This window comes from Homo sapiens, chromosome 16, assembly GCF_000001405.40.
Source record: "Homo sapiens chromosome 16, GRCh38.p14 Primary Assembly".
NCBI lineage: Eukaryota > Metazoa > Chordata > Mammalia > Primates > Hominidae > Homo > Homo sapiens.
In genome coordinates this window covers 21,616,946-21,638,262 of record NC_000016.10, presented here as the reverse complement: position 1 = coordinate 21,638,262, position 21,317 = coordinate 21,616,946, and the positions used below count along the sequence as shown (strand labels likewise).

Genomic DNA, 21,317 nt, shown 5'->3' with positions numbered 1-21,317 from the left:
CACTGCAACCTCTGCCTCCAGGGTTCAAGTGATTCTCCTGCCTCAGCCTCCTGAGTAGCTGGGATTATAGGCATCTGCCACCATGCCTGGCTAATTTTTGTATTTTTAGTAGAGATGGGGTTTCACTCTGTTGGCCAGGCTGGTCTCAAACTCCTGACCTCAGGTGATCTGCCCACCTTGGCCTCCCAAAATGCTAGGATTACAGGCATAAGCCACCGCACCCAGCCTAAGCTGTAACTTTCTGTTTAGATTTGGGTTTCCTATGACAATTAAAAAAGAATTAATACTGAAACAACTTGTTTTACTTCGAGCTGCAAAAACAAATTACCATAGACTGAGTGGCTTATTGAGAGGTGACAATGTGCTAGCAGCCCTCGCTCGCTCTCAGCGCCTCCTCGGCCTCGGTGTCCGCTCTGACCGCACTCAAGGAGCACTTCAGCCCGCCGCTGTGCTGTGGGGACCCCTCTCTGTGGCTGGCCGAGGCCGGACTGGCTCTCTGCTCGCGGGGAAGTGTGGAGGGAGAGGCACGGGCAGGAGCCGGGCTGCGCGCAGCGCACGCGGGCCAGCACAGGTTCCGGGTGTGTACGGGCTCAGCAGGCCCAGCACTCGGTGCCACTGGCTGGTGCCTGCTGGGCTTAATCAGGGGACAAGCTCCCTCTGGGCTGCTGGAGTGCCCAGGCTAGGTGCCACAAAGTCCCGCAGCCAGTGCCATTGAGAGGTGAAGCTGGCTGGGCTTCTGAGTCGGGTGGGGACCTGGAGAACTTTTCTGTCTAGCTAAAGGTTTGTAAATGCACCAATCAGCACTCTGTGTCTACTTAAAGGTTTGTAAACGCACCAATCAGTGCTCTGTGTCTAGCTAATGGTTTATAAATACACCAATCAGCGCTCTGTGTCTAGCTAGCCGGGTAGCAGACTTGGAGAACTTGTGTCTAGCTAAAGGATTCTAAACGCACCAATCAGCACTCTGTGTCTAGCTAAAGGTTTGTAAACACACAAATCAGCGCTCTGTCAAAACGGACGAATCAGTGCTCTGTAAAATGGACCAATCAGCTCTCTGTAAAATGGACCAATCAGCAGGATGTTGGTGGGGCCAGATAAGGGAATAAAAGCAGGCCAACAGAGCCAGCAGCAGCAACCCGCTCGGGTCCCCTTCCATACTGTGGAAGCTTTGTTTTTTCACTCTTCGCAATAAATCTTGCTGCTGCTCACTCTTTGGGTCCGTGCCACCTTTAAGAGCTGTAATACTCACTGCAAAGGTCTGCAGCTTCACTCCTGAAGTCAGCGAGACCAAGAACCCACCAATTCCAGACACATTTTGGCGACCCAGATGGGACTATCACCTATCGCCAAGTGGTGAGACTATCGCCTATCGCCAAGCGGTAAGTACCATCGGACCCTTTTCACTTGCTATTCTGTCCTATTTTTCCTTAGAGTTCGGGGGCTAAATACTGGGCACCTGTCAGCCAGTTAAAAGTGATTAGCGCAGCCACCGGGCTAAAGACATGGGTGTCAGGCTTTCTGGGAAAGGGCTAACAACCCCCGACTCTTCAGAGTTGGGAGCGGTGGTTGGCCTGGAACCAGCTTCCGCCTTTCCAGTACTTCTGGGCTGAACCGAGGGTCGACAGAGAGGAAAGCCATTCAGCTCCGGGGTCCCAACAAGAAGTTGGTTGACCCTGCGGCCATGAGCAGAACTCTCAATGTCGCCCAAGCGAGACTAGCCCATCTATTCTATCTACCCTGACCCTTGCCTCCTGGGTCCTAACGCCTGTCAGACAAACTTCCTCTCACCTCTTGGAGTCTCTGAGGCTAGTCCCACTTCTCAAAATCACTCCCTGTCTCTGGTGCTTTTCCAGTTTCTCCTATGAGGATGATTTCTAGTATAAACTCCAGGAGTCTACTCCCTTCTTTAGGCACCTGGGCTCACCAATCAGAAAGACATAATTTTTGCCCAAAGCCCCGTCATAGGGGGAACTCTGGAATTTTAGGATCCCTCCTTAGAAAAGCAGGCCTAACAAATGCTATTCCTGAAGCTAGGATATGGGGAGCCTCAGAAATTGTATCCTTCCTATTCATATAAGTGAGGACAAAAGGTGTCACTCTTCCAACCCTGGAGATCCCTTCCCTCCCTCAGGGTATGGCCCTCCACTTCATTTTTGAGGCACAACATCTTTATAGGACACAGGTAAGGTCCCAATACTAACAGGAGAATGCTTAGGACTCTAACAGGTTTTTGAGAATGCATCAGTAAAGGCCACTAAATCCAATTTTTCTCAGTCTTTGTGGTCTACGAGGACAGGCAAGGGTGCAGGTTTTCGAGAATGCGTCAGTAAGGGCCACTAAATCCGGCCTTCCTCAGTCCTCCTTGTGGTCTGGGAGGAAAACTACCGTTTCTGCTGCTGCTTCGGTGAGCGCAACTATTCCAATTAGCAGGGTCCGGGGACTGCTGCAGGTTCTTGGGCAGGGGGAGAAACAAAACAAACCAAAAACACAGGCGGTTTTGTCTTTCAGATGGGAAACAGGCATCAACAGGCTCACCCTTGAAATGCATCCTAAGCCACTGGGACCAATTTGACCCACAAACCCTGAAAAAGAAGCGGCTCATTTTTTTCTGCACTATGGCCTAGCCCCAATATTCTCTCTCTGATGGGGAAAAATGGCCACCTGAGGGAAGTAGAAATTACAATACTATCCTGCAGCTTGACCTTTTCTGTAAGAAGGAAGGCAAATGGAGTGAAATACCTTATGTCCAAGCTTTCTTTTCATTGAAGGAGAATACACGAGAATACACAACTATACAGAGCTTGCAATTTACATCCCACAGGAGGACCGCTCAGCTTACCCCCCATATCCTAGCCTCCCTATAGCTCCCCCTCCTATTAATGATAATCCTCCTCTAATCTCCCCTGCCCAGAAGGAAATAAGCAAAGAAATCTCCAAAGGACCACAAACCTCCCCAGGCTATCGGTTATGTTCCCTTCAAGCTGTAGGGGGAGGGGAATTTGGCCCAACCTGAGTACATGTCCCCTTCTCCCTCTCTGATTTAAAGCAGATCAAGGCAGACCTGGGGAAGTTTTCAGATGATCATGATAGGTACACAGATGTCCTACAGGGTCTAGGGCAAACCTTCAACCTCGCTTGGAGAGATGTCATGCTACTGTTAGATCAAACCCTGGCCTTTAATGAAAAGAATACGGCTTTAGCTGCAGCCCGAGAGTTTGGAGATACCTGGTATCCTAGTCAAGTAAATGACAGCCGAAGAAAGGGATAAATTCCCTACTGGTCAGCCAGCCGTCCCCAGTACAGATCCCCACTGGGACCTTGATGCAGATCATGGGGACTGGAGTCGTAAACATCTGTTGACCTGTGTTCTAGAAGGACTAAGGAGAATTAGGAAAAAGCCCATGAATTATTCAATGCTGTCCACCGTAACTCAGGGAAAGGAAGAAAATCCTTCTGCCTTCCTTGAGCAGCTACAGGAGGCCTTAAGAAAATATACTCCCGTCGCCCAAATCACTCAAGGGTCAATTGATCCTAAAAGGTAAGTTTATTACCCAATCGGCTGCAGATATCAGGAGAAAGCTCCAAAAGCAAGCCCTGGGCCCTGAACAAAATCTGGAGGCATTATTAACCTGGCAACCTCGGTGTTCTATAATAGGGACAGGCCCAAAAGGAAAAGTGAGATCAGAGAAAGGCCACAGCCTTAGTCATAGCCTTCAGACAAACAAACCTTGGTGGTTCAGAGAGGACAGAAAATGGGGCAGGTCAATCACCCGGTAGGGCTTGTTATCAATGTGGTTTACAAGGACACTTTAAGAAAGATTGTCCAATGAGAAATAAGCCGCCCCCTCATCCATGTCCACTATGCTGGGGCAATCACTGGAAGGTGCACTGCCCCAGAAGACAAAGGTTCTCTGGGTCAGAAGCCCCCAACCGGATGATCCAACAACAGGATTGAGGGTGCCCGGGGCAAGCGCCAGCTCATGTCATCATACTCACTGAGCCCCAGGTATGCTTAACTATTGAGTGCCAGGATTGACTTCCTCATGGACACTGGTGTGGCCTTCTCAGTGTTAATCTCCTGTCCAGATGACTGTCCTCAAGGTCCGTTACCATCCGAGGAATCCTGGGACAGCCTGTAACCAGGTATTTCTCCCACCTCCTCAGTTGTAATTGGAAACTTTGCTCTTTTCACTTGCCTTTCTTGTTAAGCCTGAAAGTCCCACATCCTTATTAGGGAGGGGTATATTAGCCAAAGCTGGAGCTATTATCTACATGAATATGGGGAACAAGTTACCCATCTGTTGTCCCCTACTTGAAGAGGGAATCAGCCCTGAAGTCTGGGCATTGGAAGGACAATTTGGAAGGGCAAAAAAATGCCCGCCCAGTCCAAATCAGGCTAAAAGACCCCACCACTTTTCCTTATCAAAGGCACTATCCCTTAAGGCCTAAAGCTCATAAAGGATTACAGGATACTGTTAAACATTTAAAAGCTCAAGGCTTAGTATGGAAATGCAGCAGTCCCTGAAACACCTCAATTCTAGGAATACAGAAACTGAACGGTCAGTGGAGACTAGTGCAAGATCTTAGACTCATCAATGAGGCAGTAATTCCTCTATATCCAGTTGTACCCAACCCCTATACCCTGCTCTCTTAAATACCAGAGGAGGCAGAATGGTGCACTGTTCTGGACCTCAAGGATGCCTTCTTCTGTATTACCCTGCACACTGACTCCCAGTTTCTCTTTGCCTTTGAGGATCCCACAGACCACACATCCCAATTTACGTGGACAGTCTTGCCCCAAGGGTTTAGGGATAGCCCTCACCTGTTTGGTCAGACACTGGCCCAAGATCTAGGACACTTCTCAAGTCCAGACACTCTGATCCTTCAGTATTTGGATGATTTACTTTTGGCTACCAGTTCAGAAGCCTCGTGCCAGCAGGCTGCTCTAGATCTCTTGAACGTTCTAGCTAATCAAAGGTACAAGGTGTCTAGGTCAAAGGCCCAGCTTTGCCTACAGCAGGTCAAATATCCAGACCTAATCTTAGCCAGAGGGACCAGGGCCCTCAGCAAGGAATGAGGGCCCTCAGCAAGGAACAAATACAGCCTATACTGGCTTATCCTTGCCCTAAGACATTAAAACAGTTGCGGGGGTTCCTTGGAATCACGGGCTTTTGCTGACTATGGATCCCCAGATACAGCGAGATAGCCAGGCCCCTCTATACTCTAATCGAGGAGACCCAGAGAGCAAATACTCATCTAGTAGAAGGGGAACCAGAGGCAGAAATAGCCTTCAAAACCTTAAAGCAGGCCCTAGTATAAGCTCTGACTTTAAGCCTTCCCACAGAACAAAACTTCTCTTTATACATCACAGAGAGAGCAGGGATAGCTCTTGGAGTCCTTACTCAGACTTGTGGGATGACCCCACAACCAGTGGCATACCTAAGTAAGGAAATTGATGTAGTAGCAAAAGGCTGGCCTGTTTACGGGTAGTTGCGGCGGTGGCCATCTTAGTGTCAGAGGCTATCAAAATAATACAAGGAAAGGATCTCACTGTCTGGACTACTCATGATGTAAGTGGCATACTAGGTGCCAAAGGAAGTTTATGGCTATCAGACAACCACCTGCTTAGATACCAGGCACTACTCCTTGAGGGACCAGTGCTTCAAATACGTATGTGCGTGGCCCTCAACCCTGCCACTTTTCTCCCAGAGGATGAGGAACCAATCGAGCATGACTACCAATAAATTATAGTCCAGACTTATGTGGCCCGAGATGATCTCTTAGAAGGCCCCCTAGCTAATCCTGACCTTAACCTATATACCGATGGAAGTTCATTTGTGGAGAATGGGATACAAAGGGCAGATTATGCCATAGTTCATGATGTAACCGTACTTGAAAGTAAGCCTCTTCCCCCAGGGACCAGTGCCCAGTTAGCATAACTAGTGGCACTTACCTGAGCCTTAGAACTGGAAAAGGGAAAAAGAATAAATGTGTATACAGATAGCAAGTATGCTTATGTAATCCTACATGCCAATGCTGCAATATGGAAAGAAAGGGAGTTCCTAACCTCTGGGGGGAACCCCCATTAAATACCACAAGGCAATTATGGAGTTTTTGCATGCAGTGCAAAAACCCAAGGAGGCGGCAGTCTTACACTGCCAAAGCCATCAAAAGGGGAAGGAGAGGGGAGAACAGCAGGATAAGTGGCTGGCAGAGGCAGGGAAAAACCAGCAGAAAGGGAAGAGAGGAAGAGACAGAGGGAGTCAGAGAGAAAGAAAGAAAGAGACAAAGTCAAAGAGACAGAGACAAAGAGGGAGTCAGTGAGAGAGAGAGACAAAGAAAAAGTCAAAGAGAAAGAGAGATGGAAGTAGTAAAGAAAAAACAGTGTACCCTATTCCTTTAAAAGCCAGGGTAAAGTTAAAACCTATAATTGATAATTGAAGGTCTTCTCTGTAACCCTGTAACACTCCAATACCACCTTGTTGTCAGTGTAAACAAGGGCGTAGCGCGAAAGCACTGAGGCCACTGACAACCCATAGCCTTCCTATCAAAAATCCTTAACCCAGCAGGTTTCCTAACAGGGGATCTAAATCTTAATCACCATACAAAGGTCCAATCAGACATAGGAGGAACTCCCTTCAGGACAGGACGATAGATGGTTCCTCCCGGGCGATTAAGGAAAAACGACACAATGAGTATTCAGTAAATGATAAGGAAACTCTTGTAGAAACAGAGTTAGGAAAATTGCCTAATAATTGGTCTGCTCAAACTTGCAAGCTGTTTGCACTCAGCTGAGCCTTAAAGTACTTACAGAATCAGGAAGGAGCCATCTATACCAATTCTAAGTTAATATACACTAAACGAGGTCTTATTAATAGCAAAGAATAATTGAAATCCCAAACTTAAAAGGTTTTCAACAAAAGTAAAGTTTGCTAAAAGTTAACAGTGTAAACATATATTATCCTAACTTCTAATCTTGTGGAAATCAGACCCTATCAATACTCTTCAAAGCTCAAGTCCGTCAGCACAGAGCCATACAACTAATACCCCTATTTATAGGGTTAGGAATGGCTACTGCTACAGGAACCGGAATAGCCAGTTTATCTACTTCATTATCCTACTATTACACACTATCAAAGGATTTCTCAGATAGTTTGCAAGAAATAACAAAATCTATCCATACTCTACAATCCCAAATAGACTCTCTGGCAATAGTGACTCTCCAAAACCCCTGAGGCGTAGACCTCCTCACTGCTGAGAAGGGAGGACTCTGCACCTTCTTAGGAGAAGAGTGTTGTTTTTACACTAACCAGGCAGGGATAGTACGAGATGCCGCCCAGCGTTTACAGGAAAAGGCTTCTGAAATCAGACACCACCTTTCAAACTCTTGTACCAACCTCTGGAGTTGGGCAACATGGCTTCTCCCCTTTCTAGGTCCTGTGGCAGCCATCTTGCTGTTACTCACCTTTGGGCCCTGTAATTTTAACCTTCTTGTCAAATTTGTTTCCTCTAGAATGGAGGCCATCAAGCTATAGATGGTCTTACAAATGGAACCCCAAATGAGCTCAACTAACAACTTCTACCGAGGACCCCTGGACCAACCCGCTGGCCCTTCCACTGGCCTAAAGAGTTCCCCTCTGGAGGACACTACAACTGCAGGGCCCCTTCTTCGCCCCTATCCAGCAGGAAGTAGCTAGAGTGGTCATCAGCCAAATTCCCAACAGCAGTTGGGGGTATCCTGTTTAGACGGGGGATTGAGAGGTGACAACGTGCTAGCAGCCCTCGCTCGCTCTCGGCGCCCCCTCGGCCACGGCGTCGGCTCTGGCTGTGCTCGAGGAGCCCTTCAGCCCACGGCTGCACTGTAGGGGCCTCCTCTCTGGGGCTGGCCGAGGCCAGAGCCGGCTCCCTCTGCTCACAGGGAGGTGTGAAGGGAGAGGTGCAGGCGGGAGCCAGCGTGGGTTCCGGGTGGGCGCAGGCTCGGCAGGCCCCGCACTTGGCGCCACCAGCCAGCGCCTGCTGGGCTTGATCGGGGGACAAGCTCCCACTGGGCTGTCGGAGTGCCCAGGCTAGGTGCCGCAAAGTCCCGCAGCCAGTGCCATTGAGAGGTGAAGCCAGCTGGGCTTCTGGGTCGGGTGGGGACCTGGAGAACTTTTCTGTCTAGCTAAAGGTTTGTAAATGTACCAATCAGCACTCTGTGTCTACCTAAAAGTTTGTAAACACACCAATCAGCACTCTGTGTCTAGCTAATGGTTTGTAAACGCACCAGTCAGCGTTCTGTGTCTAGCTAATCAGGTAGGGGACTTGGAGAACTTTTGTGTCTTGCTAAGGGATTGTAAACGCACCAATCAGCACTCTGTGTCTAACTAAAGGTGTAAACGCACCAATCAGCGCTCTGTCAAAACGGACCAATCAGCTCTCTGTAAAATGGACCAATCAGCTCTCTGTAAAATGGACCAATCAGCAGGCTGTGGGTGGGGCCAGATAAGGGAATAAAAGCAGGCCACCCAAGCCAGCAGCACCAACCTGCTGGGTCCCCATCCATGCTGAGGAAGCTTTGTTCTTTCGTTCTTTGCAATAAATCTTACTGCTGCTCACGCTTTGGGTCCGTGCCACCTTTAAGAGCTGTAACACTCACCGCAAAGGTCTGCAGCTTCACTCCTGAGGCCAGCAAGACCAGGAACCCACCAGAAGGAACTAACACCTCCAGACAGGCCGCCTTTATGAACTGTAACACTCACCGCAAAGGTTTGTAGCTTCATTCCTGAAGTCAGAGAGACCAAGAACCCACCAATTCCAGACACAGAACAATAGAAATTTATGAGTTCTGGTGAGGACCCTCTTTCTAGGTACAGGCTGCTGACCTCTTGTTGTATCCTTGCATGGCAGAAGGTAGAGAGAAGCAAGGTCTCTCGGAACTCTTAAAAGGGCATTCATCCCATTCAGGAAGGCTCTGCTCTCATGATCTCATCTAATCCTAATCACCTCCTAAAGACCCCTTCCTAATACCATCACGATGGGGGGTGGGGGCCTCAAAATATATATCTGGGAGGAACACAAACAAACACGCAGTCTATAACACAACTTTAAGAGGGAAATGTAATCACAGCACTTTGGGAGACTGAGGGGGCATCACTTGAGGTCAGGAGTTCAAGATCAGCCTGGCCAACATAGCGAAACCCTGTCTCTACTAAAAATACAAAAATGAGCCGGGTGTGGTGGCACACATCTATAACCCCAGCTACTCAGCAGGCTGAGTCAGGAAAATCACTTGAACCCAGGAGGCGGAGGTTGCAGTGAGTAAGCCAAGATCGTGCCACCACATTCCATCCTCGGTGACAGAGTGAGACTCCATCTCCAAAAAAAAAAAAAAGAAACATCTCAAGCCAAACAACAGCAACTTCAAGTAAAAAAAAAAAAAATTAGCATCATATTTAAAGTAGTAATATTTTCATTAAAGTTAGAAACAAGGCCAGGTGCAGTGGCTCACATCTATAATCCCAACACGCTGGGAGGCGAAGGCAGGCCAATCACTTGATTCCAAGAGTTCAAGACCAGCCTGGACAACGCCGCCAGACGCCCTCTCTACCAAAAAAATACAAAAGTTAGATGGGTGTGGTGGTATGCACCTGTAGTCCCAGCTACTCAGGAGGCTGAGGTGGGAGAATAGCTTGAGCCCAGGAGGTCAAGGCTGCAGTGAGCTGTGACAGCACCACTGCACTCCCGTCTGGGCAACAGAGCAAGTCCCTTTCAGAAAAGAAAGAAAAAGAAAGAAAGAAAAAAAAGTGGGGGAGGACAGGGGAGGGTGTTTTGTTTTTAAACATTACTAAGCAAATTGCTATCTAGAGACCTCCTCTAGTAAAGTTATACATCTAGTGGTGTGCTGGTAAATGTGTAACTACCAGCTTGGAGAAGAAAATGGCTATTTGCAGTGTTTGCCAATTTCTATAGTGTAAATACTCCCATCATGGTCAATTTCAATAATGGCCATGTTTAACAACCAGTTCACTTAAATTCCTACCAAAACAACAATCAGCTCTCATGAACCAGTCCACGCCAGCTCCAGCATCTACAGCTTACATGTAGACAACCATGTGGAGACATATGTGCTGGTAAGAACTACTTTCCTAGATACATTTAAGTGGAAAAAGGCAACAGAAGTTATTTATAATTGGGAACTGCCTGTATAATTTTTTTAATGTACATACAGACTTACATTTACATAGACTATCTTTTAAAGAATATTCAAGAAACCTGAACAAGATTGTGGAACTGGACTGGATGAGAAACTTTTTTTGTTTTGTTTGTTTTTTGAGATGGAGTCTGGCTCTGTCACCCAGGCTGGAGTGCAGTGGTGCAATCTCGGCTCACGGCAAGCTCCGCCTCCTGGGTTCACGCCGTTCTCCCACCTCAGCCTCCCCAGTAGCTGGAACTACAGGCGCCCACCACCACACCCGGCTAATTTTGTTTTTATATTTTTAGCAGAGATGGTGTTTCACTGTGTTAACTCAGGATGGTCTCGATCTCCTGACCTCATGATCTGCCTGCCTTGGCCTCCCAAAGTGCTGGGATTACAAGCATGAGCCACCACGCACAGCCCAGAAACTTTTTATTGTAAACCCTCTAGTAAGTTGCTTGAAGTATTTTTTTTTAATTACTGAATTACTTTTTAATAAAAATTACAATTTTGAAAAATTAAACATCATTAAATTTTTATTTTTACAATATAATTATCCTTCTCTTGACTTCATATCTTTCCTTCTTTGGGGGGTGCTTAAAATAATTCTCACTAGATTCAATAACCCCTAGCCAAAACTGGGTCAGTAAACCAAATAAACTGAAATTAGAATGGTATTTTTTTCATTTTTTTTCCAAATAGCAAAACTGCTGTGGTTCAACTTCAAGCCATTTACCAAAACAATTACCTAAGTAATCATTTCACCTACAACTACTTTTAGTTAAAAAAAAACAAATTAAGCCAAGTATGCAAAGCACACTCAGATATCCTCCAACAGTCCAGCATTCATGAATCTACACAGCAAAACCATTTTGCATCTCCCAGTCCTCATGGTTTCACATGGAAATCATCAGGATCTAATTAGTGACTCAGAGAAAGAAAGCAATAATAGAGTGCCGTGGCGCGCCTGCAAAATTTATAGGTCACTAAAAGTCACCCATAGCAACAAGGCTTCTTGTCTCAGGTCTGCAGTGTGTCACATGCCAGACTCCTCAGACTCAACAGGCAGCTCTGCACATCCACAATCAAGGAGCTTGTTTTCCACACTTCATGGAGACTTCCCTCTTGTCTAGTTTGACTTCCTCTCCATTTTTAGCATCAGAAACACAAGGAAATAAAATTCGTGGTTAGATTGATGTTTCTTCCCCCTGCTCTTTCATCTCCTGCTATGCCAGGAAGTAGCATTAAAGTTCTATCATGCGGTTGCCCAACAGGACACAGGAACCCAGGACCTTCCAACCTGATGACTAGTGAGTGCAATACAGAGAGCTGGAGCTGAGGCTTAATTACACAGGAAGGAGTAGCACTGAAGTAAGATCAGGTTGCTGAATCACGAAGGAGGACATTTTGCAACATATAGATGATATATATACACTCACATTTAAAAGCATTTTTTCTTTACCATGACAAACCACTCGACAACAGGAACATAAAAATGGAGATCTAAGATGGGAAAGGGGAGATCTGTTCTCTCTGCTCTTTTCCACACCCTTCTATATCGAAAGAATTCCCCATTTTCCCCATTATCAACACAAATCTGAAACCATTTGGTAAATATTAAGACAAGCATTAAATCTGAAGGCACTAAGATCTGGGGAGAAAAAACACATACAAGAAATTAAATTAATTTGTGACACCACAAATCCACACAGAATCCAATGGTTATATGAAACGGGCATTATTCCTTAAGACATAGATTTTCATATTTGATAATAATGACATTTGCAAAATCCTAATAGATTTCTTCAAAATGTCTGTGAGCTCTTAAGAGTTTCTGAAGTCAAGGTCAATCGAGGCAGTGAAATAGAAAATCTGAAGATTTTTCAGCCAGGGATGGTGGCTCGCACCTGTAATCTCAGCATTTTGGGAGGCAGAGACAGGAGGATCACCTGAGATCAGGAGTTAGAGACCAGCCTGGTCAACATGGCGAAACCCCATCTCTACTGAAAATACAAAAATTAGCCAGGCATAGTGGCATGTGCCTGAAGTCCCAGTTACTTGGGACTCAGAAGGCTGAGGCCGGAGAATGCCTGAACCCACGAGGTAGAGGTTGCAGTGAGCCAAGATCGCACCACTGCACTCCAGCCTGGGCGACAGAGCAAGGCTCTGTCTCAAAAAAATAAATGAAACACTGAAGATTTTTAAATAGTAACTTGTATTATTCATAAAATAAATAATTTTATATTAATGTACATTAACTTATGAAAATGCAGGAGACTTAAAATCATAACTTTCAAGATGACCTAAAATGCAAACCACACAAACTAAAACTATAACTTAATGTGGCATTAAGTCAGAATGGCCAGAAGTCACAGTAACTATGAAGTGATATGAAATCAACCCGTTTCTTCTAACATATTCTTCATTCAATATTGCTGAAGAGCAAGACCATGCAATCAAAAAATCAAATGTTACAGAAAGAAATGATACATGCTGCAACAACACACATGGTCTTCAAAAGAGAAAAAAACAGATAAAAGCATTTATCATTTTTAGAGTCTGGCACAAGAGATGCAAAACGGAAAACAAAACAGCCATGACATTCAGCAAGTATATACGACCAGATTTAAAGGCACTGTTTATTGCTCGATTCAGTTGTAAAGCTAATAAATAAATGGTTCAAGCTCCATTTAAAACCAGAGATACAGTTGCATTTTTAGCTTTCAATCTCAAGCAGTCAGACCCAGCTAAATATTAATTATTACCACTGCAAGGGGAATGCTAGACCTCTATAAAGTCCACCTTAAGGTGAACATTAACCAAGATGGTGTTTTACATGGATTAACTGGATTACTTTAAACTGCAGGCTATTATAAGACATACTAGACAATATTTAATTGTACACAGCACAAAATCACAAATACCAATAAACAGCTATCCTCAGTAAGAGCTAGCCTGACTGACCACACTTACCGTTTTCCACATAGGGATGAAAGGGGAGGACAAGGGCAAGGATGACCCTGCCTCTAGTTGGCTCCAAGACACTTCTGATATCTTTTAACAAAGTCAGGGGCTGATCACAGCGGTCCAGCAAGTTCAGGCAGCTGATGACATCATACTGGAACCCCGTATTCTGCCATTCATTTATACCAAGGACTCTAGAAAAATCAGAAATAACTGTATTAACATAAAGTCCCTCTAAAGACATCTTTAAAAATAACTGAGATGACAATAAAGGCTTTAACTTTGTCTTCTAAATTAAGTTCAAAATCTTCTGTTATAATTTATGTTTGCAATAATGACATGGCCAAGGAAGAGAAAAATAGCAACCATTTTTTTTTTTTTTTAATTTTTTCTTTTTTGAGACACAGCCTCACTCTGTTGCCCAGGCTGGAGTACAGTAGAGCAATCTCGGCTCACTGCAACCTCTGCCTCCCAGGTTCAAGTGATTCTCCTGCCTCCGCCTCCCCAGTAACTGAGATTACAGGCAGTTGCCACCATGCCCGGCTAATTTTTGTGTTTTTAGTAGAGACGGGGTTTTACCACATTGGCTAAGCTGATCTTGAACTCCTCACCTCAAGCGATCCGACTGCCTCGGCCTCCCAAAGTGCTGGGATTACAGGTGTGAGCTACCACGACTGGCCCATATTTCTTTAAATTTAGCATTTCACCTATTTCCAAATCTCAACACATACGAAGTTTCCTTTACAAGAACTAATCATGTTTAATAAGTATGAAGATGTAACCTGACAAAGTTATGAAACTAAAACATCAAATTCTTTTGAATATCAGTTAATGAACAAGAGTCCAGCTTTTTACCATTCATTGGAACTTAATCAAAAAATGCATCATATAATTAATGTTTTCTATTCCTAGGATCCCTTCTATTCTTAAAAATGGCTGGGAGTGGTATAAAATAATTTCCATTGATAACTTATGACCTTTGAGCACATTTCCGTTCCCAGGAAAGACATATTTCATACTTGAGAATCTTCATATCTGAATAACTATACAGAAAAGGACCGGGCACGGTGGCTCACGCCTGTAATCCTAGCACTTTGGGAGGCCAAGGCAGGCGGATCATGAGGTCAGGAGATTGAGACCATCCAGGCCAACATGGTGAAACACTGTCTCTACTAAAAATACAAAAATTAGCTGGGTGTGGTGGCGCGTGCCTGTAATCCCAGCTACCCGGGAGGCTGAGGTAGGAGAATCGCTTGAATCAGGGAGGCGGAGGCTGCAGTGAGCCGAGATCACATCACTGCACTCCAGCCTGAGGACAGAGCCAGACTCCATCTCAAAACAAAACAAAACAAAACAAAAACTATACAGAAAAGATAAAGCCCAGGACATCCTATTAACATTAAGAGCATGGTTTAAAAAAAAACCACTCTCGATCCTCAATCTCTCACTTTCATACACACGTACACAGAACACAGAGAACATTTTCAGTCCTCTACAATGTTGTTATCTCTAGAAAGGGGGAGTTTTTATATCAAGAGTCTTTGTTAGCCACACAATTAGGCAATTTTACAAATTACTTACTCCTGCTTGGTTATACCAATCAGAATGTGGTAGGTGAGATATGTTATGATAGAGACAGGTAAAAAAGGAAACATAAAAAAAGGATCTTTGGTAAACAAGTCTTTAGTAATGTTGAGCAGATACAGTAAGATAGCTCAGAAAATTCTAAAAGTATAATGAGGGTTGTTTTGAAAACCTCATTAGCATAATGATATTTAGAGCATTTCTGAATAGCAGAATTTTAAAAACACAAAGCACTTAGCTGCATTTTCTTTTCAATCTATATTTTTGTCAAACTAAAGCCTCTTCCAAATAGCAGCCTAACAAACTTCCAGGGACTAGTCAGATTCCTTACTGGTGCAGGTGTTTCATTGCACTAAATACTGTTTGAAATAAGTAGAGCATTCAGGCTTTAAAATCACTTTGTTGTACTAAGTCAACTGTAATAGCAATTTTGGAAATTCAATTTAGCTCATTCCAAGAGTTTCCAAACATTACTAAGAAGACTACTTTCAGAACAAAAATGTCATCAATTCCCATTCTAAAAAATGGAAATGAATAAAGAAAGGACTATTTGTATATATTAACGCCTTAGCTAAGCAGCCAATTTAAAGACACAAATTGTAAAACACAAATTATATATTTGATTTTTAAAAACAAAACAACAAAAAAAATCTGATGTCTATCTGCAATGAAGCAGAAGCCAAACATCATCAGCATGTTCTAATCTAGAATAATCTCACTAAACCTACCTCAGAATGAGTTTCAGATAGGTAGCCTCTGTGTTGGTAATTTTGGAAGAGAAATATATGCTCATAACACAAAAAGGTGACTAACACTAAGACAGTTAAATCTATACCTATAGAAGCTCAAGTGCATTCTTACTTCTGTTTTGTGATTTTTATTTGTAAACTCACTCAGTTCCACTGATGAAGACAAATTGCTTAGCCCCACTAAAACTGCGTATTAGCCCAGGAATCCTAACAAGTTGTCAGAATTTTCCTTTTTCTAAAACAGTATTTCTAAACCTAGAATGAGGGTATCTATTCAAGTGATTATTATTTTCAAGAAAATGAGTTAATACTTCCAGAAGGATGTAAAATATATTTCTCCTTAGAGAATGATAAAGCAGTCAGGTGCAGTAGCTAACATCTGTAATTCCAGCACTTTGGGAGGATCGCTTGAGCCTAGGAGTTTGAGACCAGCTGGGGCAACACAACAAGACCCCATCTCTATAAAAAATTAAAAATAGCCAAGGATGGTGGCACACACCTGTAGTCCTAGCTAAGCTACTTGGGCAGCTGAGGCAGGAGGATGGCTTGAACACAAGAGTTTGAGGTTACAGTGAGCTATGATTGTGTCACTGCACTCCAGCCTGGACGACAAAGCAAGATCCTGTCTCAAAAAAAAAAAAAAAAAAAAAGGCCAGGCATGGTGGCTCACACCTATAATCCTAGCACTTTGGGAGGCCAAAGCGGGCAGATTGCCTGAGCTCAGGAGTTCAAGACCAGCTGGGCAACACAGTGAAACCCCATCTCTACTAAAATACAAAAACTTAGCTGGGCGTGGCAGCATGCGCCTGTAGTCCCAGCTACTCGGGAGGCTGAGGCGGAGGCTGCACAGTAAGCCGAGATGGCACCACTGCACTCCAGCCTGGGCAACAGGGAGAGATTCCGTCTCCCAAAAAAAAAGATGCCTTGCCATCTCGGGTTGGGAGAGCTCTAAACTTAGGAAATAAGCAATCTGTATTTTGATAATTCCTAAATAAAAAATGAAACACTAACAATATAAAGAAAACTGTCTTGCTGTAAAAATCAAAACCACATCCTTTAGTTTTACAATTGGGTTTTCTGGCATAAACAATGACAACTTGCGAATACAAAGGAAAAACCTGGCCATTTTCTGTTTATTGACCTATTTTTGAAATGCAGAAACTTTGGCTGGGCGCAGTGACTCACACCTATAATCCCAGCACTTTGGGAGGCCAAGGCGGGCGGATTGCCTGAGTTCAGGAGTTCGAGACCAGCCTGGGCAACACAGTGAAACCTTATCTCTGCTAAAATACAAAAAATTTAGCTGGGTGTGGCGGCATGCGCCTGTAATCCCAGCTACTTGGGAGGCTGAGGCAGGCTAATCACTTGAACCTGGGAGGTAGAGGTTGCAGTGAGCTGAGATTGTGCCACTGCACTCCAGCCTGGTGATGGAGCGAGACTTTGTCTCAAAAAAAAAAAAAATTACAGAACCTTTATTTAAAAAGGTGTGTTTTGCTCATGCCTGTAATCTCAGCACTCTGGGAAGCCAAGGCAGGAGGACTGTTTGAGGCCAGGAGTTCAAGACTGGCCTGGTCAACATAATGAAACTCCTGTCTCTACACACACAACACACAAAAACACACACACACACACACACACACACTCTCTCTCTCAAATTAGCCAGATATGGTAGCAGGCACCTGTAGTCCCAGCTACTGAGGAGGCTGAGGTGAGAGGATCACTTGAGCCCGGAAGTTCAAGGCTACAGTGAGCTATAATCACGCCACATGCTCTAGCCCAGGTGACAGAGAGAGACCCGTCTCTAAAAATATATATATATAAATTAATAAAAAGCCTGTTTTTCATGGCCCAGATATTGAAGAGAAATAGAAAATAGCTCTAATCTCAAAAGGAAGAAAAAAATGTAAAATTCAGCTGAAAGTCTGCCTTGCCATCTTGGATTGGGTGACCTCTAATCTTAGGAAATAAAGATACTACTTCCTCATTAAAACCTCAAACTGCACCAATAGTCACAAAATTTACCACTTTTGTGAAAATGTTTTCACTTCATACTAATATTATGAAAGGAATGCCAATCAGTATGAATTTCCCATGCAGGTCAAACTGCAGATTTTTGGCTTATGTGCTGTATATTAGGGAAAAAATTAAACCAAGTATTTTTTATGTGGTAGATATCTTTACATACCATGTACACTCCAGATATATTACTAATTTCAAACATCTGAAGTTTCCCTGAAAATTCCATTTAGGCACTTAGCATCAAAGCAAAAGAAGGCTGGGGCGGTCAATCATCTGAAGATGGGTTTAACACCTTCCTCTTCGACCCACTTCAAAGCATGGATTTTTTTAAGGGGGGGAGGTGGAATCAGATTAGGAATTCAGCCTGACTTAAGCCACTGTTATAACAAAGGTCAAAGCATTCTAAGTTTTGAAATGCCGAATTAATCTCTAACTGAAGGAAAACATGTCAATTATCACCATGCAGACCCACCAGAACCTTATCTGAGACAGCTTGCTAAAGCTAAGGGGCTTTCAAATCACTCAGTTCAAACTCACACCTTCCTTATGTCTCTTCCTATAACAACCCTAACAGCAATTTAAACACTGACAGTGATAAGGACTTAAACAGTTCAAGCTAGGAAGGTCGATCTCCCTAAGCTGTAACTCAACTTCTAAGGCGTAGCTGTGCCTGATTACACCAGAGACTATACCTATTCCTTTCCTTCCATATAAAAATCCCACAGCGTATCTGTTCACAGAAATCTTCCCTTCTCCAGGCTAAAAATCTCCATGTTTTGCAAATGCTCAAACCAGTCCTGCTCCAAAAGCTACACTGATGCTCTATCTCTAGGATTAATCTGTAAAAGTAGAAACATGTGGATAGGAAAGTGAGTGATTACATAATTTCTTCTCCTTTCTTTCTAAGGCTAACCAGACTTCCAAAAATATCACAGAGAAAGGCTGACTCCAGCTCTACCTCCCTGATTCTGCACTGAGCCAATATATAGAAATCTCCCAATCAATAAATCATACTGAAATAAGAATACCCTTCTTCCAGCCGGGTGCAGTGGCTCACGCCTGTAATCCCAACACTTTGGGAGGCCAAGGCAGGCAGATCACGAGGTCAGCAGTTTGAGACCAGCCTGGCCAACATAGTGAAACCCTGTCTCTACTAAAAATACAAAAAAAAAAAAAAAAAAAAAATTAGCCGGGCATAGTGGCATGTGCCTGTAGTCCCAGCTACTCAGGAGGCTGAGGCAGTAGAATTGCCTGAATCCAGGAGGTGGAGGTTTCAGTGAGCTGAGATCACGCCACCGCACTCCAGCTTGGGCAAGTGAAACTTCATCTCCAGAAAAAAAAAAAAGGCCCTTCTTCCTAGTCTTTCAAACTCCAGATGACCTTAAAACCAAGATTAACACTGATGACTATAAACTAAAAGCAAAACAAAACAGAAAATAGCAAGTATTGTCAAGGAGTGGAGAAACTGAAACCCTTGTACTACATTGCTGGTGGGAATGTAAAATGGTGCAGCAGCAATGGAAAAGTATTGCAATTCCTCAAAAAATTAAACCCAGACTTAGCCATGTGATCCAGCAACTCCACTTCTGGGTCTATACCCAAAAGAAGTAAAAGTAGGGGCTCAAGTCGGTATCTGTACACCCATGTTCATAGCAGCATTATTCACAACAGCCAAATGGTAGAAACAACCCAAATATCTACTGACAGATAAATGGGTAAACAAAATGTGGTACATGCATACAGCGAATTATCATTCATCCTTAAAGAAAATTTTGGGCCAGGCGCAGTGGCTCACACCTGTAATCCCAGCACTTTGGATTACTTGAGGTCAGGAGTTCGAGACCAGCCTGGCCAAATAGTGAAACCCTATCCCTACTAAAACTACAAAAAAATTAGCCAGGCATGGTGGCATATGCCTGTAATCCCAGCTACTTGGGAGGCTGAGGCAGGAGAATTGCTTGAACCTGAGAGGTAGAGGTTGTAGTGAGCCGAGATCGTGCCACTGCACTCCAGCCTGGGTGACAGAGCAAGACTCCATCTCAAAAAAAAAAAGAAAAGAAAAGAAAAGAAAATTTTGGCCCATGGTACAACATGAGTAAACCTTGAAGACATTATGCTACATGCGATAAGCCAGTCACAAGGAGCTAATGTATATAATTCCTCTTATACGAAATACCCAGAATAGTCAAATTCATAGACAAAGTAGAATGGTGGTTGTCAGGGGTTACGAGGAGGGAAAAATGGGGAGTTATTGTTTATTGGGTACAGAGTTTCCGTTTCGGAAGACAAAAATTTCTGGAGATGAATAGTGGTGATGATTATGCAACAATGTAAATGTACTTAATACCACTGAACTGTACACTTAAAAATAGTTACAACAGTAAATTCTATGCTATGTGTATTTTACCACTACTTAAAAAAATTTTTTTTGAGAATGCCACATTCTGATTAGGGAAGAAGTCCCTTCTTCTGATCTGCCTTTTCCAAGTTGTCTCTCGCTAGTGCTTTTCTTACCTATAGTGCCAACCCCTCCGCTCCAGAAAAATACTGCTACCAGAAGATTATTTCTCTACATTTCCAGTTAATTATGTATGAGATGATTTTTTAAATTTCTAATCATGGAAGATCATTTTTTATTCATATCCTTTAAATAATATACTTTCAAGAAGAAATGCATCTAAAACCAAGAAAATTATACCTGTATTTCTTTTTCTGAAGCTGCCATATCATAGTTTCAGAAAGCTCAGTGGCATAGATTTCTTCAAAATGAGGGCTCATGATTTTTGTGACTTCTCCATCTCCAGCACCTAAATCAAGAAGTCTGTGGGTTTTCCAGTCTGGATTAATTTTAAGCAGTCTCTGAAACTGATCTGGTGAAAACACAAACATTGAGCCTCTTCCTAGCAACCTGAAAGAAAAAAAGGACAAAAATGGAAGTGTCTATGCAAATTAAGCACCCCTCACATACACACACAAAGTGAATATAGTGACTCAGCACCAACAACCATAATCACTTATTACATGGTTAAGATTTTTTTTTTTTTTAGACAAGGTCTCACTCTGTCACTCAGGCTGGAGTGCAGTGGCATGATCTCGGCTCACTGCAACCTTCGCCTCCTGGGTTCAAGCGATTCTCCTGTCCCAGCCTCCTGAGTAGCTGGGATTACAGGCATGCACCACCACACCCGGCTTATTTTTTGTATTTTTAGTGGAGACAGGGTTTCACCATGTCGGCCAGGTTGGTCTCGAACTCCTGACCTCAGGTGATCTACCCGCCTCGGCCTCCCAAAGTGCTGGGATTACAGGCATGGGCCACTGCGCCTGGCCTAATTTTTTTTTTCTTTTTTTTTTTGAGACAGAGTCTCGCTCTGCCGTCGCCCAGACTGGAGTGCAGTGGCACGATCTCTGCTCACTGCAAGCTCCGCCTCCCAGGTTCATGCCATTCTCCTGCCTCAGCCTCCTGAGTAGCTGGGACTACAGGCGCCCGCCACCACACCTGACTAATTTTTTGGATTTTTAGTAGAGAAGGGGTTTCACCATGTTAGCCAGGATGGTCTCGATCTCCTGCCCTCGTGATCCACCCGCCTCTGCCTCCAAAGTGCTGGGATTACAGGCATGAGCCACCGTGCCCAGCAAAGATATTATCTTTTATGTCATTTCTATGATTAGAAGACAAAGTTAATAAAATAAGAAAATGCCTCCAGATACCATTTGTCTTTGGAGTTGCAAATAATGCCCCAAAAAAGCATGGGAGGAGGGAAATAAAAGGTGGAAAGTGGAAAGGATGACAGGGGAAGGAAGAAGAAATAAGTAAGAGATGAATGTGA

At 43.9% G+C, this 21,317-nt stretch overlaps 1 protein-coding gene across 4 annotated transcripts in view; it reads right to left on the bottom strand.

Moving 5' to 3' along the window:
* METTL9 (methyltransferase 9, His-X-His N1(pi)-histidine) overlaps window positions 1–21,317 on the bottom strand; it is a 60,264-nt gene that overhangs the window by 19,209 nt on the left and 19,738 nt on the right. For all 4 annotated transcript variants that reach the window (NM_001288659.2, NM_001288660.2, NM_016025.5 and 1 more), the window contains exons 3-4: window positions 20,189–20,398; window positions 13,148–13,332 (exon numbers count right to left, since the gene is read on the bottom strand). In NM_001288659.2, the coding sequence (NP_001275588.1) occupies window positions 13,148–13,332; window positions 20,189–20,398 (395 nt within the window). The remainder of the gene's footprint in view (window positions 1–13,147; window positions 13,333–20,188; window positions 20,399–21,317) is intronic.